Source organism: Homo sapiens, chromosome 5, assembly GCF_000001405.40.
Source record: "Homo sapiens chromosome 5, GRCh38.p14 Primary Assembly".
Taxonomy (NCBI): Eukaryota; Metazoa; Chordata; class Mammalia; order Primates; family Hominidae; genus Homo; species Homo sapiens.
The window spans coordinates 35,151,673-35,178,224 of NC_000005.10; the positions used below are offsets into that span (position 1 = coordinate 35,151,673).

The 26,552-nt window shown below is 39.8% G+C and overlaps 1 protein-coding gene across 6 annotated transcripts in view; it reads right to left on the minus strand.

Moving 5' to 3' along the window:
• PRLR (prolactin receptor) overlaps positions 1–26,552 on the minus strand; it is a 181,732-nt gene that overhangs the window by 102,917 nt on the left and 52,263 nt on the right. Inside the window, exon 2 of one of the 6 annotated variants that reach the window (XM_047417390.1) lies at positions 1,115–1,301. The exons of the other annotated variants lie outside the window; for them this stretch is intronic. The gene's annotated coding sequence lies outside the window, so the exon portion shown is untranslated. The remainder of the gene's footprint in view (positions 1–1,114; positions 1,302–26,552) is intronic. 6 annotated transcript variants of the gene reach the window in all.

Below are 26,552 nucleotides of genomic sequence, written 5' to 3' on the forward strand. Positions count from 1 at the left end.
AAGGCTCCTGAGAGGGTTCATGTATAGGTGCTTTTGTCAAGAGCCCCAACTAATCTGAGTCATCCCAGCCAGGCACCAAACATATGAATAAGGAAGCCTCCAGCTGATTTCAGTTTCCAAGCCATTTGAGTGTTCACAGCTGAGAACCCAGACATTACACAACAGACATAAGACCACTGTGTTGTGTCTTATTTCCTAACTCACAGAACTTGTGAGCACAATCAAATGATAGCTGTTTTAAACAAATTTTGGGGTGGTTTGTTATAAAGCAACTAGTTGACCGGAACAAACAGGTTGGGCTTGTTTGTTACCACACCGTAATTTATCCCATCATAATAGAAAGGTGTTTTTCAGAAATTCACAAAGGGTACATAACAAAGTAAGATGAAAAATACTATTTTCAGTTTTTTGGTGTTAATATCTTAGTGGTATCAACCTTCTAGGGAAGTTATACAGGTATAATCCGCGTGATCCATTCTCCTTAACTATAAACCACATTTCCAATGTCTCATTCACGTATGTAAGCTTTTGTAAACTGAATTCACTGGGGCATAGCAATTTTTACTATTTTATCCAGGCAGATTTATGCTACAAATAACTGTCCCTCAAGGAAATAAATGGTATATTAAAAGATATTTATACATGGTAAGACGCATGAATAAAACTGGGAGGCTTATATTGTGGGATGATTTATGTTTCAGAAATAGGTGGTGCCTAAGCTATTACTACATTATAAGCAGGTTTCAGATATTGCCATGTAGGTTGAGAGACTTAGTAAATATTGCCCCTCCCACCTTCAAATCATCACAAAAAATTTTAGCATAGGAGATTGCCAATACTGTACACAACAGTAATAGTGATTAATTAGCTGACTTTCAAGGTTCTACACCTCTAAAGACAAATGGACAACATGAACCCACACTAGTACAAGTATTGTCTAAGTAAGCTCTAGTTCACTGCTTCTTAATTAAACTTTGTAGGCCAGTTTCATTCTTCACAATATATTGGGAGTTATGTACCCAAGAGAAACTAGAGCATGCATATTTTTAGTTTGCAGAGAAGTCAAAATAAATATCCAACAAAAGAGAAAAACAATCCAGAGCAAGGAACTAACCATCCTCTGAAGACAGTGATATACATGATCATTTCATGTCATTTATTTCTCACTCACAGCAACAATCCAGGCAAAATGAAGGGAAGTGGATAAAGGCCTCTGCACTGGGGTGATGTGTACATTTCCTAAGTATCACATGACTTAACAGGTGCAAGCTGGCAGGCATGGGACTTGGTATCCGTAAGACCTGGAATGAAATTGCAGTTCCTCTTACCATGCTGTTTGACCTTGAGCAAATAACTTTTGTATGCCTTAGTTTCCCTCTCTTTGATATGGAGACAATAATATTGATCCTTCAGGGTTATTCTGAATAAGGCAAATCATGTATACAAAGTGCCTGGTATATCATAAGCACTTAATAAAGGATGGCTATCATTATCATATTTTAATAAAAGAGATGATTAGTAGCGATCCTTCCAACACAAAGCTAAACAGATTAAATAATCTTTGGATTACAAAATCTAGCAGTTAATTTGCTTCTTGATAACTTGCTGAGAGAACTACAATTTGGATTCTAGGTGAAGTCTTTACAATGTTCTTTTGTCTTGCCTTCTCATGTTGCCCCCCAGGCCAATTCGTCTGGGATTGTCTCTCTCAAAAGATATGTAATGATCAGCTTGAAATCTGCCTGTCCAGATCTGTGGGCCAGAGATTTAGACCCTCATCCTCAAGGCCTTATTCCTCACAAAAGCCATATGTAAAACTGGCTGGTAAGTGGTAATTCCCTTCTGGGCTTTCGTCAGTGACACTGAAATGATTGGTATTATATAACAAGCAAATAGAGGAAGTGATTTGCAAGCCAATTATTCATACACACAGCTAGTGTTGCATTCTAAGAAATTCTTTGATTTGCTCAGGGTAGGTTGCTGCTTTTCTGAGTGTCGTTTCCCATTTCTTGCTCATTGCTCTGCCAACTGTTCCCCACCATTGTACACACACACACACACACACACTGCACACACTACACACACTACACACACACACACACACCCCATTGTTATTTCTGCAAGGCTACAGGAAGTCAGCTGCTTTATGCCAGTGCAGTCTTCTAGACCCAAAGATGATGGGTGCCCATTTGGTCCTGAGAAGGATCCCAACCCCAAATGTCATCCCAGTTTGCCTTATTTGCAGCAAAGTCTCTTGGTAACCAGGATCCTTGCCTCCAGAAAGAGCCCACTGGACAGATTTCAAAACCAATCGCACAAAATAGATGATTCCTTTAATTGGTTTTGATAATAATTTTCTCAGATCCCAGAGGATACGTCAACACCTTCAAATAACAGCAGCTTACCAAAATGGGATTCCAAAGTTTAAGATTAAATAAAATATACTTGAATATATTTCCTAACTGAATGGAAGGAATAGTTTCTAGGTAGAAAACTCATAGAATTATAGAACTGTCAAGCTCAAAGACCTCTGAGAAGTCAGAGGCAAAGGTATCTGACTTCTTGTTTTATATTTAAGGAAGCAAGGACTCTGAAAGCTTGCACTGGATGCTCAAATAATTCAAGGCATAGAAACTCTTGGAGGCTCTGAAAATGATCTCTCAACTATTTTAGTGCCTAAATACTTTTTGATACATCTCTAATTTTGTAGTTATTTAGTATCACACTGTCCTTCCTATTTTTTAACTTATCTATTTATGTATTTATGATCATCATAAAGGATCTGAGGTCAAGTCCTTCATATTTGAAGAAATATTACTGACTCTAGTGAGGTTGCAGAGAAAAAGGAAGGCTTTTATGCTGTTGGTGGGAGTGTAAATTAGTTCAACCACTATGGAAGACAGTGTGGCAATTCCTCAAAGACCCAGAGGCAGAAATACCACTTGACCCAGCAATTCCCTTACCGAGTATATACCCAAAGGAATATAAACCATTCTATTATAAAGATACATGCACACATATGTTTATTGCAGCACTATTCACAATAGCAAATACATGGAATCAAGCCAAATGCCCATTAATAATAGACTGGATAAAGAAAATGTGGTACGTATACACCATGGAATACTATGCAGCCATAAAAAAACGAGATCATGTCTTCTTCAGGGACATGGATGGAGCTGAAAGCCATTATCCCCAGCGAATTAATGCAGGAACAGAAAACCAAACACTACATGTTTTCACTTATTAGTGGGAGCTGAATGATGAGAACGCGTGGACACATTGCAGGGACCAACACACACTGGAGCCTGTCAGGGGAGGGGGTTCAGGGGAGGGTGGGCACCAGGAAGAATAGCTAATGGATGCTGGGCTTAATACCTACATGATGGGAGGATCTGTGCAGCAAACCACCACGGCACATGTTTACCTGTGTAACTAACCTGCACATCCTGTACATGTACCCCTGAACTTAAAATAAAAACTGAAGATAAAAAATATTAAATCATATGAATAAATATACATTTACAGCTTTTATAAAAACATGTTACTAACATGCGGGAATGCTTGTTTTTTGAACTGCTTTCTCAATAACAGTGATAGATCTACACTCTCTTGTCTGATTCATGTTGTAATCAATTCTACTCATTTGTGAAGCTGAGGTGAGGTGTGTGGCCAAGAAACAGAGGGAAGTTAATTTGTATACACATGCAAAAAGAACACCTTATTAATTTCAGAATATAACCAATTGAGCTAACTTGTTTCACCTCTTTGATCACATAAGCCACAGCTAAAAAAAAAACCCATCGACTATTGGGAGCAAGGAAGAACAATGAATAAGGGTATGAATTATAATACCCTTGTAAAACCAAATATTTGTTTAACAAAACTTCTGTTTAAAATGGAAGCCGTTGGTTCTTAACGATACCTGGGACTTGGATGCCATTTCACAGTTGATGAAATGGGCAGCCATCACCTTTAAGACATAGAAAGTGAGAATTCAAAGGATTAAAGGAGTTACCGGAGATTCCAAAGCTAATAGAAGTCACTCCCAGGGCGTGAAGCTAGAACCAGGGCTTATTCCATTGCAACATGGTAGTTTTAGGCTCTCACCTTTAGAAAAAAGGTACAATGGCTTACAAAGGTACTTCTAACTCATTAATAAAATAAAATTCAAACAAAAGATAATTCATGATTTCACAAACAGTTCTCTCCCGCTGTAAATATTAATGACTGAAAAATATATAAATGCACACAGTTTTACAGATTGTTTGCATGGGCAGAACAATACAAGTTCATCTTCCTTACTTTGTAATTTTTTTTAAACCATATTTCAAATCAGCCAGGTGCTTATTTTGATTGCCACCTGTAATACAGTTTATAAGTGTGTTTACTGCCATGTTACCAAAGAACAAAGTAATTTAAAATGTTGTCTCCATCTCTCCAGTTGCTCAAGATAAAAAAAAAAAACAAAAAAAAAAACAAAACCAACTTTGAATCATCCTTGATTTCCCTCTCTCTCTCATTTACTCCAATCCAATCCAATGATGAATCCTGTTGACTCTATCTTTAAATGAGATTTTTATAAATGCAATTTCCTCTCATTTTCCTTACTTGCACCACCGAGGTCTAAGTGATATTTGCCTGGATAAATGTCTGCGTTAGCCTCCCAATGGGTCTCTCCACCTCTCTCCTTGCCCTTCAGTTTATTTTTAATACAGGAGCCAGAATACTTCTTTTAGAACGTAAGTTAAATCATACACTTTTCTGCTCATAAGTGCTTACCATCTCATTCAAAGTAAAAGTCAAAGTTATACAATGACCTACAAGACTCTCCAGGATCTGGCCTCCAGGCATCCCTCTGAAATCACCTCCTACCAACACTTTCCTCACACTTGTGCCATTTGGCCAGTATGGTCTCCTTGATGCTCCTGAATGTACCGGGCAGGTTCCTGAGGTCAGGGCTTATGAACTTGCTATTCCTGTTGTCTACAATGCTCTTCCTCAAATGACTTCCATGGATTGCTCTCTCAGATATTGTGCTCAAAGTTATCATGTCTGCAAGTCCTTTACCAGTTCTGCCTTTTGACCTAGGTTGGAAGGGATCTCTCTCCTCCAAACTTCTAGACAACATTCTGAGTACCAAGAGCTCCTGCCCCTGTGGCCCTAAGCCCACTTGCAAGACATGCAGACTGTGAGATGAAACCTCATGGAAGAATTACACATGCTGGGTGGGTCTGCTTTTCACTAAAGCTTCCTCAAGTCTTGTGACTATACTATTTCTCCCAGGATGTCTCGTTGCATCCTTAATTTAGCTCCTAATTCAGAGCTAAGCTCATGGTCCAGAGCTTGAAACAGTCCATGAGCTTGGCTTTGAATTAGGAGCTAAATTAAAGATGCAATGAGATATCTTGGGAAAAAGAGTGTAGTCACAAGACTTGAGGAAGCTGTTGTCCTGCCTGAGAGTTCTGTCCCTAGATACATCAACACGAGGCTATTCTTTTCCTGCAGGCAGTCCTTCAAAGTTTTCCTTTATGGAAACTGTATGTAGCTGAGGCCAGAGCAATATCTTATATCTGAAATATGCACTTCTTACCAGGTCTGAGGGCAAACTCACTGGTGGTCCAAATTTATATCAGCACAATATCCTCTTGACTTCCTATGGAAGGCCTAGATTTTGTGGGGAGTGGACATCAGGATACTTCAAGGGGGCTGAGGTATAGATGCTACTGTATCCATCCTGACCACCATTTCCTGGTTGATGAGACAACCCCTTCCAGGGAGGACTTGCCCTCCTCCCTTAACAGAGCAGAGTTTTGTGGCTCTTCGGGGTTGCTTATGCCATATTCAATGTAAGCCCAGAACACAGATGAGGAAGCTCAGCACAGGGTTATGGCATGTCCACACTGGACAGGGCCGTGGGTCCTCATTCATTCAACACTTCCTTCTACTCATGGAAACCTGAAGTTCCAAGAAGACACTCTGGCATCTACTTTAAGCACACATACCCTCATCCCCTCGAAGTCAGTGAAAAGCCTGAAAAGGCAAGGGAAAAAACAAATAAATAAAATTCTCTTTCATACTCGGAACTAAAATTTCCCGTCTTGAAAAGACATCTGTCTTCATATTTGAATACTACTTTGGGTGAGTTTTGGCAGCCTTTAAAAGGGCACCTTTAAAAATACTTTTTTGTGTGTGTTCCAGCTAATATCTTCTTCCCAGCTGAGAAATCTGATTTTCAATTAATACATTAAAAATTTGTTCCTTTCTTGCTGTGTTCTAACCATGGTATGAAGCTCCCTCTATAAGCCAAATTTATCTGCTAGCCTCACACTTTGAGTATTTAGAGAACCTGTGGGTTGTGCTGAAAATGGCGGTCCTTTTCTCAAAGTCAGGTCAGGCAGGGATGTTAGCACTGGCATCCAAGTCTTTGCACTGTCTATATTCTCACAATAGCAGAGGAAGATGAATGCTCTTATTCCTGTTGTCTTTGGTCCATGAAAGGTAGACCACGAGCACCCTGGGCAGGCATCACAGTCTACTGAAATTGCTCGTATGCCTGCTGTTTATATGTTGTCTTCCTGAACTAGACCATGTGTGTATTGAGAGCAGGAGAGGGTCTTTTTGGCTTGTGTTATTTCCACTTACAACGCAGTGAAAGGAAGGAAAGAAGATTATCAGGGAATAAAGAAGGAATCCAGAAATGTCTAGAGATAACTGATGATTCACAGGGTGGCTTCTGATTTGCTTACTGTTTATAAAAGCCATATTCATATTAAGTACACAAGAATAATTTACTAGCATAGTGCACAGCTTTGAGTTTTATGTCTGTCCCACATTCTTTCATTTTCAGAACTTCCTTTTGCTTACTCCCCATGATTCGAGTGGGACTGTTAACAGGCTTACCTTGCCCAATGAAGGGTGAATATGTGCCCCTTGCTGGCACGTATTGAGAGTATCCAAGTGAGAGTATCCAAGCCCCTCTGGACTCTGCTAAGTCCAAGAGTGAGAACATGACTCAAGCAAGGACGGTGGCTTCTTTTTATGGAGACAGATGCTGGGAGACAATCTCTTTCCTTCTGGGACCGTGAGCTGCAAGGAACTTAGGAGCCTGGAAAGGCTGGAGCCCGTCTTTCATTCCACATGGAGAAAGCTTATCAGAGCAGGATGTTAACACAGAGGAAAGCAGAGATAAGAGAGAGGAAGGGAAGGAGAGATGGTAGCTGCTGCTTGAACACTGCATGCAATTATGTCTGAAGATCAATCCAGTGAGTTCAGACTTTTGAGCTAATTATATTTATTTATAGATTTATTTTTGCTTAGCTCTGTTTGAGTTAGGTTTCTGACACTTACAACCAAAAAGTCTTGATAACAATGACTACTATAACAAGTAACAATGAACCAGCACAAGTGATTGAGTGGGGTGTCATGTTCTACAGCATGGAAAAAGCAATACGAATCAGGGTTCCTGACCTCATGGAAGAGATCTGGATTACAGTTCTAGTGACACACTCATAGCCCCTCATTCTGCACTGGCTCCAGCCAAAAGTCACCACTGTGACAATTTTTGGCATCCTTCGGCCTTCTTTTGGCCTCCAGAGAACGATTATGGCTCTCCTTTTCCTTCTAAGGGTACTCCAATCAAGATAGGAAAAAAAAAAAAAAAAAGGAAATAAACACGAAAAAGAAAAAAGCATTTTCCTCTTGGCTTAGACCCATTGGCCCCATCCAAGTCAGAAAAACTACAGACCTGCATCTGCTTATAACCCAGAAAAAACTAGAGTGTCACCAGAGAGCCCTCCACTCTACTGATACAAATAAACAGTGTCAGCGGGACAGAAAGTCCTTGAATTTCAAGGGAATGTTTGGCCGTTAAGCAAGCATGTTAAGTTAGCAAACAAACCAGGCCTATCCAAGCAGTGGGCCACCAGAGCTCAGGCAGACCCAAGGAATGTGGCAAATTCCTTGAGGCAGCTGTTTTTATAGAAACCCAAGTAATTCCTTTCATTGTAACAGTTTAGTTCATGATCTTAGCATGGAGTTTGGGGGCATTTTCTGTATTTTCCACTAAAGCTATGTTAACAAGCAAAATTTATACTTTCTTTTGCCCTCTGTTATCAAGTGCAACCCAAGCCACCAATACTTGGGACAATATCACTGGCATTTGTGGCTGGGTCCGCATTTGTCAGAAGGAATTCTTCTCTTCAGTCCTTTTCTAAGTTAGCCCTGGAACTTTAGTCATACCTAGAATGACTTTTATTAAATAAGGCATGTTAGAGATGAAATATAAAAGTGATCCAATTTTACAGTCTAATGTGACAACACTCTTGCAGGGGAAAAGTGACTGAGGTGTAGAAAGGAGCCAGAGAGGAAGAGCATTACCCAAGGTACAGGATCAATTCTCTCATGGGCTCAGATGTGTTACTCTATAACAGAGGCAGGCAAACTACTGCTCTGGACCAAATCCAGTCCACCACCAAGCTAAAAATGATTTTGACATTTTTGAATAGTTGAAAACAATTAAAAATGAAATATTCTGTGACATGTCACAATTGTATGACATTTCCATTTCAGTGTTAATTCATAAAGTTCCACTGGAACACAGTCATGCCTATTCCTTTCTATGGCTGCCTTCATGCTACAATGACACAGTTGGGTAGTGGGTGAAAATGCCTTTGCAAAAATTGTATCAGTGAGAAAATTATGGCAGTGAAGGAGATCTGATTTAGCCATCTCTGCTCTTACCTTTAGTGGTCAAGCTGCCTTAATTACTCCTGGGCTGAGGCCAAGATAACTTTGGAAGACTTTTAGGTTATGGTTTAAATGATAATAGCCCCTCCCCAAAAGTCAACCACCTTTGTAAAGCCATGAGAGAGCCCCAGTCTATGGGGAGGAGAGGAGCCTGAATTCTGCTAAGGTGTAGGCTGGTCACAAGATATGCAAATTCCCCAATTACTCCTGCAGATAACATCACTATTGCAGATTGGCCTTTTGAGATATGTTTTCAGGTTTTTTGCATGTCTGACATGGTTGGCTCCACTTGTACCAGATGGCTTCACCCGGACCTGCCAAATCACCCTTAGGGCCCCACCTATAAGTGAATCAGCTCAAGAGGACAGCTTTGACCCCTTACGATTTCTTCTCCGCTTCAACCAATCAGTGGAAAGCACCCATTTCCTAGCCACCCCCACCTCTTCCCCTAAACTGTCTTTGAAAAACCACTAGCCCACAAGCCTTCGATAAGACTGACTTGAGTAATAACTCTGTCTCTCACATGGCGTGGCCGGCCTTGTGTCAGTTAAACTCTTTACTGCAGTGCTGTGGTCTTTGTGTAGTGGGCAGGAAGAACCCATTGGGTAATTACATTTTATAGAGGCCATTTAACCTGCAAAAGCAAAACTACTTCTATCTAGTCAATTACAAACATAATCTGCTGACCCTTTCTCTACAAAGATCTTTCTTTCAAGACTATTGATTATATTGCTATCCCTTGGAAGACATCAGAGAAGCATAAGATACAATGAAAGAGCAAGTAGAGTTGTCATCCTGGCTTCATTCCCAGTTACCTGCGCAACCCTAGAAAGTGATTTAACTCTTGTCGGTCCTTACTTCCCTCCTGTAGTACCTTATTTTAGAGCTGGTAATAACTTCATTTCAACTCTAAAAATTATTTGATCTCACAAAAGCCTGGTTGCAAAGGGATAGGTTGGATGGTTGGGAGCACATTCATCATGACCAAAGATTAATACTAGGAAAGAGGCCTAGGCAGGATCTTGTTCTACAAAAGAATACAGCATTGTTGTTTTATGAGGCATCCTGATCCCTAAAAATCACAACTCTATCCACATGACTTTATTTTCAAAACTGTGGCCATAATCACAGAAGCAAAGTGAATTCAAAAATCAAAGGACCCAGCTGGATTCCAACTTGCCAAGTACTTTGTCTTGAAAATATCTGATCATGGTGCCAGTAAAAGGAGATGCATTAATCTGGAATAATCGGTGAGGTTCCTTGCTTCATCAGGCAAGTTACTTTTTGTTTTCTCAGAGGGTAGTGTTGGCTTGCATTATCTGGATAAATGCCCCGACTGTCTTTTTGGATCGGCTAATGAAGATCTGGCTAGAGCCAGTATGCTTGGCAGCCCAGATACACGTTGGAAAATAAAACTTGCACAGAAGATAATTTTACAAGTGTTAGATTCTTTTCCTTGTGAGCCTTAAAACACTGTCGATCCTAGTTCTTTTCCAAAAGTCTTGTGAGACAGAAAAAGCTTGAGGTTTGTCAGGTGATACTTTTTAAAGCCAATTTTCCAAGGCTTTAAAAAACTTGAGCTGCTATGGATTTAGCACTTAATCATATTCATCTGTGGACGTGATTCACAGTCACAATAAATAGCTGCCGCTTTTCCAATGAGTCCTGTGCATCAAGAAAAATCCTGGGCATTAAATTCTAACATTTGTCACAAGACCTGCCAACCCTTATCCTTTCCAGTAACAAAAGACTTGTCAATGATTATGGTGAATTAAGTTCTGGTTACAACATAAGTGTGGCACACAAGAAAATCTATCTATCTTAGCATTACTATTTTGTAAACTTCAATGTGATTTCACCTTTCTGCTGGATCAAAAAATATTTTATATTCAAGATTGGCTCCCAAAACAAACCACAAAGTTTGAGTAGCTCAAATTCATAGGGCTCAACATTCTTTCTACCAAAAGGAGCTTCTTGGCCTCTAGGGTGTATTTTGTATACTTTTTATCCATAATTTGAGGAAATATGTACAAGGATTTTCCATTCAAAATAAGTGGGAATACAAAAGTAGCATAAGAATGAATTTTACCGGATTCTTATGAAACTATGTGAGCACACTAAGTACGTAATCACATACATGCCCTCCGAAGAGATTGCTACTTGGGACTGCAGTCTCAGAATGCAAGCCTTCTCCAACAGGAGGGTCAGAGCTGAGCGGGATCTCAGAGATAAGCTGGTCCAGTTGTTTCATACCCCAGATGAAGAAAGGGAGGCTCTGGAGGGGAGCAACAGGTCTGAGTGAGCAGCTCACTGGCTGCAGAACTGGATCCAAGGTCTACCTCTCCACATGCCTCGTCCCTGTGTCTCCCGGGCAGTTTCCTCTATCCTGTCTCCATTGTGACCCCTTGTAAGTAAAATGATTCACTGTTTTAGAAATCATTGCCTTGTGAGTGGAAGGGGAGTACGTTGATATATTCCAATGGACTCCTTGAGTTAATTTGCCTCTATTTTCTGCCAGTGGATCTTGTTGAATCACACATACCTCTGCAACTGGGAGTCCTTTTGAGACAGCCAGGTGGGAAGGCGGTTCCCAGAAAACTCCAACCGACTTGCGCACTGGGAGGAATACACACTGGGGTGGAGCCACAGAAGTTTGCTCTGCTGGCAGAGGGGAGGAGTCTGGCCCCTCCTCTTCCTGGGTGGCACCTGGGATTCAACCTGTGAGGTGGGAAGTACTCTAGCAGGGACTCTGGCTTTGGAGAGGGCCCCTGTTTCTAATTTCCCCATTTTTGCCCAATAAATTTCATTTTTCTCCCCCTCGAAATCGTCTGTGAGCCTAATTTTTCATGGCCGTGCGACAAGGACCTGGCTCTTCGCTGAACTAAGGAGGAAGTCCTACCACACTTTGCTGTTATTTGCACTAGCAGACAACGAGTCCCTAAGTCTTCCTGAAAGCCTGCCAGAATGATGTGGGATTTACTTTGCCTGAACATTAGGACTCAGCAAATCCAGAGGAATGCCATTTCATGAGGAGCAGCTAGGATGCGAGATAATGACAAGTGAATTGTGCATTCAGGCTGCATAAAAGAAAGGCTTACATTAGAACATGAGTGGAAGGAGTGAGGACAGTGGCTTTTTAAATTTCTATTCACTGCTGGTATTATCAGAGTGGAATTTGCAAGGCAAAGGGTCAGAGACATGGTAAGTGCTACAGGGAGATGTATTTGACTAAAGGAAGTATATGTATTGCTGAAATTGTACATGTAAATTGAATAATAGATTTCAATGATAAATTCAAGGAAGGCTTATGTTAATTTCTTAATCCTTCTCAAGTGCCTACATTTTCTAACTTTTTAAACATCAACTTTCTCTGGCCCTAGCATTCCTGAGAAGTTCATTTATTCATGCATGCAGGCATCAAGTATTCACTGATTGCTGACTATGTAGAAGCAGTGTACTAGAGACACTGTGACAAATAGATGGACTTGGCTGCTGATGAAATGCAACCCAAGTAAAGGTACCAGGTTAAGGTAGACACACTATATGACTAGTTGGTAGGAAGCTCTGGCAATTCATATACTGAAAACATGTGGCTGAAAGCCTGCTTATTGAAGCTGAGGTTTGAGATAGAACTAAATAAGTTTTTAGCTATTTTAAGCCGTCAGTCACGTCATTTTTGCTTGGAATAATTCTTCAGATTGGATTAGATATAAATAACTGTCCACGTCTCCTTGGCCACTTGCCTTAGTGGCTTTACTAAGTACATGATTACTATTCAAAGACTATATAAAGAATGGAAACTTATACAACCAATTAGCTGATATCTGGGGCTTACAATCTAGTGGAGGACACAGGCAAGAAACAAGTAAACCTGATGACAAACATAATAATTATAGGCAGTGGTAAGTTCCAATAATACCCAACAAAGCCAAGAACAGTTTACTAAGGGTGCTCAGGGAAGGGATCTCTGAATATGAACCATGTAAAGCTTATACATAAAAAATGCAGAGGAGTCAACTGCTTGAGATTCTCAGAAAAGGCATTCCGGGCAATGAAAATAGCAAGCACAAAAAGTCTCAAATCGAGAAAGCACTTCGATTGCTTGAGATGTTGAAAAGGCAAGCATGGCTGCAATATATGAGAAATGGAGTCTGGTATAAGACTGGGGAGGCAGGTAGGGGCTGAATGCATCAGGGTCTACAAGTGTGGATTTTCTTCTAAGTACACTGAAAAGCCACAAGCGTTTAAATTAGTGATACAGATTTTAAAATATTATTTTGGCAACTGTGTGTACAATGAAATGGAGAGAGACAATGGAAAAAAAATAGAAGCAGTGGAACCAGGCTGCTGGAGGACTCAGTCCAGTTCAGAGTTGATGCCAGGATTAGGATGGTAGCGGTGGAACTGGTGAGGACAGGTAAGACTTGAGATATATTTCAGGGACAAAGATTTCAGGGATAAGATTTGCTAATAAGATTTGATAAGATTGAAAGAGAGTAATCAAAGATGATTCCTAAGTTTCTGGTTTGGGTCTCTGTGTTGAGGATGGTCCACTTACGAATGAGAGGGAAATAAAGAGTCCCCTTAGTACATTTACATTTAAAATGTCAGTTAATGGGTGACTTATTAAAGTTTTATAACTGCACATTTCCTGAATTAGTTTTTACCTAAGCAGTTCTACAATGTGAAGACTTAGAGACTCAAGGAGAATTCTGCTGATCTTTTCTTGGGATCAAAAATTACTCTGGATGACTTTCCCAGGTGTTCTGCTCTTCCATCAACCACCACTTTGCCCTGCCCAAATCAGTGCAGCATCCTACTATAGGAACAAAAACAAACAAGAACTCAAAGCGGGTAAAAACACCAGCAATGAACACCTGCATTCCATGTAGCTGCATAACAGAGACTCTCTGATTAACTCTATCGTTCTTTACCGAATGGCTCACCTTTGAACAGTTTCTCTGCATTGTACCAATAGGCAAGGAGATAGCAAGTTACACCATTCAAAAATTGCTACTGAATGGAAATAATGATTTCTTCTTTTACACAAAGGTTCTTTAGGTGTTCTCAGGAAGTAGAACCACCTATTTCATTTGAGATGTCTATTGAAAGGGGTTTTTGATGGTTCTGTTCAAGCCAATTTATTTCTATGGACTTATTTTCTTAGGTCATAAACAAATAATGCCTGGGTAACCATTGGCCTTTGGAATCTAGTGATTCGGGCTTATTTACAGTAGTACGATCTTACCTTGGGGTAGCTCCAGAGTTTACAGAAGAGGCTAATTCTTATGGAAGAATATGTGAAGTATTTACTGAAAGAATTATATGCCAGGGATAGTCTTATTTGTCTTATAAACCTTTATAAACATATGGTTGAAAAGTTTGAGAAATTAAAACAATACTGTTCCATGACTATTTCAGCAGAACTGAATTCTGCTGGTGAACGTGGAATTCACATTCTAGGAGAGGAGAAACCTGGGACTTGTTAAGGGTTAGTCTCCATGGACAAGCTCTTTCAGACAATCTTTGAAACATGTCCAATATTACCATTTGGTTGATAGTAATAGTTTCTATCCTCATATTCCTACACACAACTTAACTACACATAGGTCCATAGTCAGAAATGATACCATTTAGCATTCATGTGTTGCAAATAATGATACAGAGCTTTGATTGTTGAGGCCAAGGTTTGAGACAGAACAAGACATGCTTGGAGACACTTTAAGATTGAGTCCTCCATAATCATTCTTTTTTGTTTGTTTTGCCTCAGAATAGTACTTCAAACTAAATATGAATTATTGTCTAAGGCTTCATGGTCATGTCCCCTAGTGGTCAATTCTAGATTGTCTGATACGTGTTATAGCCCTTTCACATCTTTTCAATATTGGAATAAATTTCCAGCCACAATCAACTCTGCTTTGGATAGCATGGCTTGTTTAATGTGACAACTGGATTTTGTAATAACAATGTACACAAAAGACACTCTTGGGGAAAAGAATTCATAACTGGAGAATATCTTGTTTTTTCAACTGTGTAATCTTTATTTTTTTCAAATTTCTTCCTCTCTTACATCCATTTAGATTTGGTAGTCCACAGAGTTAACCAGGTAATTTAATTAGCTGGGATGGTTGAGCCTTTGGACTGATTTTGCCAATATCTTGGAATACATTATTGCAGATGTTCAGAGAATCAGCATTCAATATTCTCCTTTCAATCTTGAAGACAAATAGGAGAAGAAGCTCTGATACTCCACAAAAAATGAGGGTAGACTTATTCTTAGATAAAAATTCTCAAAGGAAGCTTACAATGAATACAAGTTGTGAGGCACACATATAATGGCCACACTGCAGAACTCTTACAATCCTTGCAATAAGAGCAACAGCTCATATATCAATTGACTATATTTGCTTTCCCTGTGTATTATATTGCTTTTTAATAGTAATTATTGGTATGTCAGCATCATCTGGAAGTTTGTGGCTAAATTGGTTCCAAATACACACCCTTAAACATATGATAAGAAATAGTGGTTTCTGTTTTTTGTATATGCTAGAGTCTTAGGAGTTCAATTGGCCTGACATTCAAGAATGGCTATGATGGTAAATTCAATTCTATACAAACTTTTTCTCTAAGAAGAAATTACTTCTACCTCTAGCTAAAATGGAGTAGCTTATTCACACTAATGCTGCTGCTAAAAATAACATCAATCTGTTTGTCTATCATCTATCTATCTATCTATCTATCTATCTATCTATCTATCTATCTATCTATCATCTAACTCTTTAAAGATATTGGTCAATGAGAGGGATCCAAGATCCCACAGAAAAGGGAAGTAGATTGAGGCGAGTCTCATACTGGCTTCTCTTCATTTCTTCTTGAGGCATTTGCCAATTTTTGGAGCAAGAATAGATGTGGCATTAAATAAATTGTTCTGGGATTTGAGACAGTGTCACTGGGCTAGGGGCTGCCAATATGACTGAGTTTTGAAAGTCAATAATCCAGGGATGAGAGAATCACAGAAAGTGAGCCCAGACTAAAACTGAGAAAATACATACCAGCAGCTCTGAACTAAAAGAAATATTAATAGGAGTTCTATAGGCCAAAAGGAGGTGTTCATGGAAGTATGTAATGTGGGAAAAAAGAAAGTTCATTGAAAACAGTAAATATAGGGTACATTTTTTAAACTGACTATTTAAAACAACAATAAAAATGTCTTATAATTTTAATAATATATGTAGAATTAAAACGCATACAGTAGTATGGAAGACAGAAATGATGCTAACTAAAGGACTAAGTTAACTTAAGTAGACTGTAATGAGTGAAAGATGGATGCTATAATCCCTGGGTTAGCACTAGGTGAATTACAACAGAGGCCTAATTAATAAGGTAACAAAGAAGATAAATGAAAATGTTTTAAAAATTGTCATTGTTTAAAATTTTTATAAAGCAGGGATTAAAATAGAAACAAAGAATAGGTGAGACAACAGAAAAAGAAATACTAAGATGGTAGGTTTAAATTCAAATAATCCAGTAATTACACTAAATGTAAATGGATTAAATACTCTAATAAGGACCAAGAAGGTTGAAAATAAAGATATGGGAAAAAAAGACCATCATAACACTAACCTGAAGAAAGTTGGTAGAGTTATACATAATATCAGATAAATTAAAACTTAATGCAAGAAATACTATTAAATATAAAAAGTGACATGTCATAATGATAAAAGGGTCAATTCATCAGGAAAATAAAGATCTACATTCATCTAATTACATAGACCCAAAATATACAAAGCAAAAACTTCCAAGACTAAAAGCAGAAATAGACAAATACACAATCATAGAAGATGTTAGCGCACCATTCTCATATCTGATTAAACATGAAAATAAAAAATTAGTAAGGGCATAGATGATTTCTCAACATGATTAAGAAATGACTTAATTGACGTTTATATAATAAAACACTACAGCCAACAACTGTAGAATGTATGTTCCTTTTAAGTACTCATGGAATATTCACCAAGGCCATATCCTGAATCATAACATTGTTTCAGCAAATTTCAAAGGGTTGAAGTCATACAGAACATGCATTCTGACCACAGAGAAACTGAATTAGGAATCAATATCAGACAAGTAACTAAAATATCCCTAAATATTTAAAAATAAGCAATATACTTTTAATAAACCCGTGGGTCTAAGGAGCAATCACAACAGAAATTTAAAAATATTTTGAAGTGAATAGTAATAAAAGTATTTCATTCCAAAAGGAGCAATGAATAGGCTGAGCAATGATTGTTCTTTGTGAACAAAAATCATGGAAGAATTAAATAGCCCTGGGAAGTTTGAAGATCTTGTTTTATTTATGGTGCAGGTACATCATGGATTTCACATACTGCGAGTTGATAAAACGATACTACAAGTTCTAACTTTATTTACATTTTTCTTTATTCATTTGATATATTACTAATATAGGACTTCAGTACAAGATCATCCTGTTCATTTCCTGATTAGGTTATAAGTGAATCTGGATCCCACACCTCAAACCTGGAAAGCAGGATCTTCATGAAGCTGGGTGATTATGGGGCAGAGGAAATACTTTTCTGAAGTGCTTAACTGAGAATCATTCATTAAATGATGATTGGCCGTTTTCCCGCAGTAGCATTGCAGCTAATTAGTTTCATATTAACTTCATTAATGCTAGGTTTTGTATAGGCTTTCATTCCAGCAAGAACAACGAAGAACTGAATGACTCAAGGCAAGGAACTGGATGCTTGTCAAACATAGATTGACAGTGTATTGGACTCGACACCTGATTATTTAGCTCTATTATCCATATCTAGATATGTGTGGCTTGCGGAAAGACCTTATTTTATGAGATATTCAAGTTCTTTCTTATTGGTTTATCAGTAAGGCAAAAATATACTTCAGGCTTATAAATATCTGGGTATAATAGTTAGGTCAAAATGAAATATGATTAATTTCTGCATTCTAACTCTGGTTTCTGAGAATGGCCCAGGAAATCTCAAGAAAATGCTGATGGAACAGCAGGCATTCTAATGATGTAAATTAATATTGAAAACAGGACTTCATGATGGTGGAAACTGGATCCCTACCAAAAGGTTAACCAAGGAGCCATGTTGCATATCCCTTCATGACTTCAACAGTTTGTGTTGTTTGACTATTGCAATCTTGGGAGTCTGTGTAGTCATTACAACAATTTTAGCAATGATTCTTATGAGGAAATATCATGGAAGATCTCCAATTAATTATTGATTTACCAACACCCACGAGGGTTAGCTTTTATCTTGTTCCTTACCCTAGACTTTTTGAATTATACGACTTTTGGACATCACTCAATATTTATTGGAAAGCCAAAATTGCTGGTGGTATGGAAGTTTCTCTACTTCTATATAGATCTCTCTAGGTGGCTGGTTTCTTGCATAGTCTGCGTTTAGCATTCTATAATGCAGATAACCTGAGGTGGCTCTCCAAATTCATCTACAGCATGAGTTTCCTGTGTGCTGCTTACTGTTTTCATATGAGGCTCGGTCTCTGTGATGGAGGGAGTATTTCTTTTAGAAGCTACCACGTAATTTTCTTTAGTATAGCATTATAGAATCTTACTAAGTAAAGCTGTTTCATGGAGGTTTATAAAAATGCAAATTTTGGTTTAGTCAAGAGGCTTCACTGAGAACACATTATTGTCATCCCACAATCCATCATGTAAGAAATCACACAAATTGAAATGGTAAAATAGATGCTATGTGCTGCAATATAAGCAGCCGTGTGTACACTGTGCATTTTGATTGCAAAATTTGAGTCTGAGGAAAATAACTGATCCTGCTGGTGGAAATATAATTCAAGCATCATTAGAAGTTTATCATATGCCTTAAGCAAAGGGGGCCACTATGAAGTCTGGAGTTAGTGGACAGTCAAGAGCAGAGGACACTTCTTCCTAGGACTCTTTATTCATTTGCATCATTTTGTTTGCTTCAAAATAGAAATAAAGGCAGGAGGATAGCTTGAGCCCAGGAGTTTTAGACCAGCCTGGGCAATGTGGCAAACCTCTGTCTCTACAAAAATAAAAAAATAAAATTAAAAAATTAGCCAGGTGCAATGGCATGTGCCTGTAGTCTGCTAGTGAGGAAGCTGAGGTGGGAGGATTGTTTGAGCCGAGAAGTTTGAGGCTGCAGTCAGCTATGATCACACCACTGCACTCTAGTCTGACTGGCAGACACCACTGCACTCAAAATGCAAAATGCACTCTAGTCTGGGTGACAGAACAAGAACCTACCTCTAAAAAAAGAAAGCCCCTTTGCCTATAAATTCCATAGAGATGAACTGACTTCAAAATTTAATATGCCCTAAAACATCTATTGTGAGCACAGATTTAGCACAAGGGTCAGAGCCTGAGTCTAGTTTATTTAATCAGTTCATTAAATAAACATATATTGAGGGCCAACTATGTACCAGGCACTGTAATAGGCACTAAGAATAAAGTATTGAACAAACGGACAAAGTACTGTCTCTGATGAAGGTTTAAAATTTAGTGGTAGGGAAGAATTGCTTATCAGTATTAGAGGGTGAATTTAGTTTCCTCTTTTCCGGCTTGTTTCTGTTTGCTGTTTTTCCCTGTTTTTTTTTTTTTTTAATAGGATCTAATTTTACCCCTATAATTTGTTGAGTGATAGAATTAAGGAGTAATGAACACTAATTCTTTCACTGATGCTAAAACCACTCTGGAAAAATCCTGCCATAATTACTGCAGCAAACACTCCAAGATCTCAAATGAGCCACAGCAGGGAATCAAAGAGTAAACAAATCATGACAGCAACCCTTGCTGCTATGTAACAACTTGAAAGTCCCAGGATCTGTCATCTGAGAGGTTTTTGGATTCATTTCCAGAGAAATTTACCATTGGATAGAGGTGTTATTCAGCATGCTGAGTCCTAAAACTTGAGCCTGCCCAGCAAGTTGTGAGCTAATGGCTCCTACAGAGTGGCCTGTGTTTTTTTATTTGCAGTTGAGGACCATCATCTCAGTAACTCCTGTGTGAGCATAGGTGATGGTCAAACTGTTTAGCAACTGGGCTGTTTTGGGCACTGACCACTCAGAACAGATGTACCTGGCTGTGCTAGACAGGGGAAAGGAGATGCTTTCATTGCTGGCATTTTAATGGGGTCCAGGACACTATGGGGAGGGGATTTAGGAAGAAGGCTAAGCCAGCAGTGGAAGACATTTGGAAGCTTGGGGCAGTGGAATTTGCCAACTGAAACAGGAAGTATTTGGATAAATTGAAGGTATGGGATGATGGGGTATGCCTGGGTTGTAGGACATGGAAGACGTGAGTCTGGGGCCTGCTTAAGTTCATCCCTCAAAATGTCTTGCCTAGGGACCACTGTGATTTTCTAATAATAGCCCTTAATTCTACTCTAGATGATATCTTTTAAAGAACCTTTACTTTTTGAAAAAAGTAAAAACTTATTTTTTTGTGATGCAAAAAAGTCTCACTTAAGTGTGTATTTTGTCAATGTTGAATGCAAATGTATTTATTTATTTTTTGCCCAGTCACAGCCCTCAGGTTGTTTAACATGAGGGGCTGGGGCAGCTTTGTGAAACGAGCCCCTAAAACCTCTAAACCGAGGAAGAGGTTAACAGTGCAAGCTACATGGTTTCAGAAAATGTGAGCATGTCCCGTGAGACTCAAGGCAGGCTCTTTATCTCAGAGGCATCTTAAATGCTGAAAGCAGGACACAGTGAACATTCAGTCTGTACTACAGTGACTGCAGGCATGACAGGGCCGTGAGCTGGAAGACCTGCCCAATGTCTTCCCTTTGCCTCTCCTGTCTTCACCCTTCCTGACCTGCAACCTGCTCTGAACTATGTGGACTGCATCTAGGGGCTCTCTTGCCTTCTGACTCCCAGGATGAGCTTGACCCACAGGGAGGCTTGGTAGGAGGTTGGAGGAAGGGAAGGAGTGAGGCTGAGGGTACTCATCTCCTTGCTGCCTGGCTGTCACCTTGGGCTGACTGAAGGTCACTGCTTCCCTCCAGATGGCCCTTTCTACAGAACTCTCCCTTCTGGGGTTGTGGTGACTGTCCCACCCTCTGACCCTTCCGACATGGGTTGGCTCTGGAACCGTACAGTTGCTAGCCCTGACACTCAATTCTCCTGTGGTTTTGAATACTCTGCTGACACCTTTGTAAAGAGTTCCATTGTCAAGCCCTTCTCAGTTTGTCCTGTTTCCTGTAGGGATCCTGCCCTGTGGAGAAGACAAATCCCTCCTCCCGACTGATGCGGCAGCATGAGCTCCCTGTCCTCCCACCAGGCCATGCTACCTCTGACAACAGTGGAGACTTTGTGTCTGTTTTTACTGCCGATGTACTTTGTCTTCTGGGGTTATAGAGGGGACTTGATTTGTTCTGAGGAAAATTTTATAGTATTTATTTAAGGAGAAATGAGTTCCGGCCCAGGAAATGGTTCTGTGAAAATGTAATAAATTCATTTTGACTTTTTAACCATATGGATAAGAAGATGGTTTCTGATACTTAGGCTGTTGGGTTTAGATTTTTTTCTTTTTTTGGTTTGTGTGCTTTTTGTCTAGTGTTGCAATTGTTCTTAAGATGGTCTCTAGAAAAATTAGCCTTGAAAAACTTGTCTGGTTGGCAAAGCACATCTTGTTCCCACCCTTTGCCTCCACATTGTTCACTCGTTTTGTCCTGATTCAAACGTTCTCCTATCACTCTCCTCCCACTTGCCCCAGCCCATTTGTGGTATAATTTGCCAAGGTCTTGTTTTCCATGGACACCCACATACATGTTGGCTGATAAAATTCAACATCTCCCAGGAGTGGCTTCATTTTTACAAGAGCCTCTTACAATTTAGAAAAGCTTCACTGTGATGGTAGAATGGCAGGTGGAGAAAATGGAATTACTATTTTGGGTATAGGGTCCATTCATGCCCTGCTTTTTCTCTTCCTCAGCCTTGATCTTGTTCCCTGGGGAGTGAGTCAGTTTGGTGCAGAGGAAGTCAAAGCAGGTCTTCAGGACCCCGCACAGCTCAGCTGAAAGAATCTGGCAGAATCATTTAGCAGCTCAAGGGGCAAGACTGACCTGAAGTCCAGGGCACTTTATTTAAGGAAAAAATTGGCAAACAAAATGCAAAACCTTGCCCTCCTCCAAGGCCTCTGGCAAGAGTGACCATCCAGTTCAGAAGCTAAATTCTTCCCTGTTTCTCTTTATTTTTGGCAACCAAAACTTTCCTGCCTCTTATGTCTTCAAAACACATCACATCCAATTGAAAGACACACTGATGCTTCAGTAAGCAAACTGTGAAATGAATGTGAAAGAAATAAATTATTGTTTATATGCATTCCTTTAAAGGGTAGTTTTTTTTTGTTGTTGTTTCTTTTCTTTTCTTTTTACTTTTTTTATTATACTTTAAGTTCTAGGGTACGTGTGCACAACGTGCATGTTTATTACATATGTATGAATGTGCCATGTTGGTGTGCTGCATCCATTAACTCATCATTTACATTAGGTATATCTCCTAATGCTATCCCTCCTCCTTCCCCCCACCCCACAACAGGCCCCGGTGTGTGATGTTCCCCTTCCTGTGTCCAAGTGTTCTCATTGTTCAATTCCCACCTATGAGTGAGAACACTGGGTGTTCGGTTTTTTTTTTTTTTTGCTAAGAGACGGAGTCTCACTCTGTCACCCAAGCTAGAATGCAGTGGCGCGATCTCGGCTCACTGCAACCTCTGCCTCCCAGGTTCTAGCAATTCTCCTGCCTCAGCCTCCCAAGTAGCTGGGACTACAGGCGTAGGCCGCCACGCCCGGCTAATTTTTTGTATTTTAGTGGAGACGGAGTTTCACCATGTTGCCCAGGCTGGTCTCGAACTCCTGAGCTCAGGCAATCCACCCGCCTCGGCCTCCCAAAGTGCTAGGATTACAGGCGTGAGCCACCATGTCTGGACACTTTGGGTTTTTTTCTACATCGACACATGCAGCTCTGGTTTATTAATTTCCTCTGCTGGAAATCTCACTATTTGAAAACACCACAATTAAATTATTCACACCTGCTGATAGACAACAAAGTGTTTTCCATGCCTTTCTCTTTCAAACAACACTGCTGTGAACATTCTCTAGCTTGATGACAGGCCTGAATTAGATGCTGTCCTTTGCCTTATCCACCATTACTCCCTGTCTTCTACCTAGTTTTTCAATGAAACCCTCCCACTTGCCCCACACCCAAGTCCCTCTACTTGGGCTCCTTGCCTCCTGTTGTATGACCAGAACCTTATTCCTATGACCTGTCTGGGGACCAGCCACCTTGACTTTACCCTTGTGAACTCTTTCAGGATGAATTTCTTGTCTCTGCCTTTCAGCTTCTGGGAGGAAATGTTGGGTAAGACCCCCACCCTGAGTACCACAAAGCCTGTGAGACTTGCTCTACTTGGACCAACTCCTTCTGGCTCACACTTGACAAGAGTGTAAGCTCAGAGAGGCAAGAATGGGTCTGACTTAGACAATATTATGTGCTCAGATCATGTTAGGTATAATATAAGGATGGTTTAAAAGTTATTTTGTGACTTAGCAAATGAAATTCCCATACTTTTAGGTATCAGTTGTCTTGTAGACGTATCCCAATTAAAGATAAATGGATGGACAGATGGATGGATAGATAGATAGATAGTTGATATGGTTTGGCTCTGTGTCCCCACCCAAATCTCATCTTGTAGCCCCCATAATGCGCACGTGTTGTGGGAGGGACCTGGTGGGAAATAATTAAATAATGGGGGCGGGTATTTCCCATGCTGTTCTCATAATAGTGAATAATTCTCACAAGATCTGATAGTTTTGAAAGCAGGAGTTTCCCTGCACAAGCTCTCTCTCTTTGCCTGCTGCCATTCATGTAAGACACAACTTGCTCCTCCTTGTCTTCCACCACGATTGTGAGGCTTCCCCAGCCATATGGAACTGTAAGTCCATTACACCTGTTTCTTTTGTAAATTGCCCAGTCTCAGGTATGTCTTTATAAGCAGCGTGAGGACAGACTAATACAATGATGGGTAGACAGATGTGTGCTAGGTCCAGTATATAGTGACTTACGGAGAGTGTAGATGTGGATGCCTTGGGAGAATCTGCTAAGCAAGGAGGAAAAGGCCTTTTGTAAACTTTGCCTGAAGAGTTTCTAAGAACAAGTCTCCTAAGCCTTAATATTTCAGAGGTAGTCCTGTGCCAAACTGTTCTGCAAGTGATGCCCACCTTGCTCTATGCATTTTTTCCAGTGTGAAGACTGGTCTTCTCAAATAGGATGCTATTCGTAAGGAAGACTTCACAAACTGCCCCCACTTCCTCCATATAATCAAGAATACACTTTCTCTAGCAACATCCTTCCACACTCACTTTCTTCTTCTTATTGTTCAACTATCAATGATCTTAGCACACAAAGTTACAAGATACTGAGAGGCCAAAGGGGGAAAGGATCTAAGTCACCTGAAATCCCACTAAACAGGGACAGCTATTGTTAACATTTGGTGGTATATTCTTTGAGAATTTTTCCAGTATGAATATATATTTATTATATGTTATAATATTTCATGTAATATCATGTGTGTATATTAGATGTAAATAAACATATACACACATACGGATGCACATGCAGCCCCCATGTTTATCTGCCTGAGTGATTTGATAAAACTCAGTTGAGTCTTTCTGTACTGTCCCTTGTTATCATCTATTTGTCTCCCAATTTTCTGTGACTCATTCATCTCTTTGTTTATAACTTCTCCCACTTACCATTTTTTAAAGGCTTTTCCAAAAATCAAGGACTAATTTCAGTAGTTACTAATCTGCTTCAAAAAAACCATCATTAATTCCAAGTTTAACATTTTTTAACTTTCTTTTTTATTTTAAAAATTCAGATAAATTTACATACCACAAACTCACCCTTTTACAGTGTACAGTTCTGTGGGGAAAAGCAAGAGAGATCAGATTGTTACTGTGTCTGTGTAGAAAGAAGTAGACATAGGAGACTCCATTTTGTTCTGTACTAAGAAAAATTCTTCTGCCTTGAGATTCTGTTAATCTATAACCTTACCCCCAACCCCGTGCTCTCTGAAACATGTGCTGTGTCAAACTCAGAGTTAAATGGATTAAGGGCGGTGCAAGATGTGCTTTGTTAAACAGATGCTTGAAGGCAGCACGCTCCTTAAGAGTCATCACCACTCCCTAATCTCAAGTACCCAGGGACACAAAAACTGCGGAAGGCCGCAGGGACCTCTGCCTAGGAAAGCCAGGTATTGTCCAAGGTTTCTCCCCATGTGATAGTCTGAAATACGGCCTCGTGGGAAGGGAAAGACCTGACCGTCCCCCAGCCCGACACCCGTAAAGGGTCTGTGCTGAGGAGGATTAGTATAAGAGGAAGGCATGCCTCTTGCAGTTGAGACAAGAGGAAGGCATCTGTCTCCTGCCTGTCCCTGGGCAATGGAATGTCTTGGTATAAAACCCGATTGTATGCTCCATCTACTGAGATAGGGAAAAACTGCCTTAGGGCTGGAGGTGGGACCTGCGGGCAGCAATACTGCTTTGTAAAGCATTGAGATGTTTATGTGTATGCATATCTAAAAGCACAGCACTTAATCCTTTACAGTGTCTATGATGCAAAGACCTTTGTTCACGTGTTTGTCTGCTGACCCTCTCCCCACAATTGTCTTGTGACCCTGACACCTCCCCCTCTTCGAGAAACACCCACGAATGATCAATAAATACTAAGGGAACTCAGAGGCTGGCGGGATCCTCCATATGCTGAACGCTGGTTCCCCGGGTCCCCTTATTTCTTTCTCTATACTTTGTCTCTGTGTCTTTTTCTTTCCTAAGTCTCTCGTTCCACCTTACGAGAAACACCCACAGGTGTGGAGGGGCAACCCACCCCTACACAGTTCAGTGGTTTTTGGTATATTCACAAGGCTGTGGATCCATTACTACAATCAATTTTAAAACATTTTTTTCACCACCTAAGGAAACTAACCATCAGCCAGTCATTCCCCATCCCCACCTCTCCCCAGCCCCTGGCAAACACTCATCTACTTTTTGTCTGTATGGAATTCCCTATTCTGGACATATCATACACATGGAATCATAAAGTATGTGGTCTTTTTTGACTGGTTTCCTTTACTTACCATAACATTTTTGAGGTTCATCTATGTTCTAGTATGTATCAGTACTTCACTCTTTTCTATGGCTGAATCCTCGATTGTACAAATTACCACGTTTTGTTTATCTATTTATCCATTGATGGATATTTGAATTGTTTTCAAGTATGTGGACAGTGTGAATAGGGCTGCTATAAACATTCATGTACAAGTATTTGCTTGAGTATCTGTTTTCAGTTTGGCGGATATATAGCTAGTAGTGGAATTGTTGGTTCACCTAGTAACTTTATGTTCAACCTTTTGAGGAACTGCCAGAATGTTTTCTGAAATGACTATTTCATTTCGCATGTCTACCAATAGTGTATGAGGGTTCTAAATTGTCCACATCCTTGCCAACACTGGTTATTGCCTGTCTTTTTTTTTTTTAATCATAGCCATCCTAGTGACTGTGAAGAGGTGACTCATTGTCGTTCTGATTTGCATTTCCCTAATTAGTAATGATGATGAGTATCTTTTCTTGTGCTTACTGGCCATTTCTATATCATTTTTTGAGAAATGTCTGTTCAGATCACTTTGCCCATTGTTAAACTGGGTTATCTTTTTATTATTGCAAGCTTAACTTTTTGAAACCAAATTTTTGCGACTCAGTTGCAAA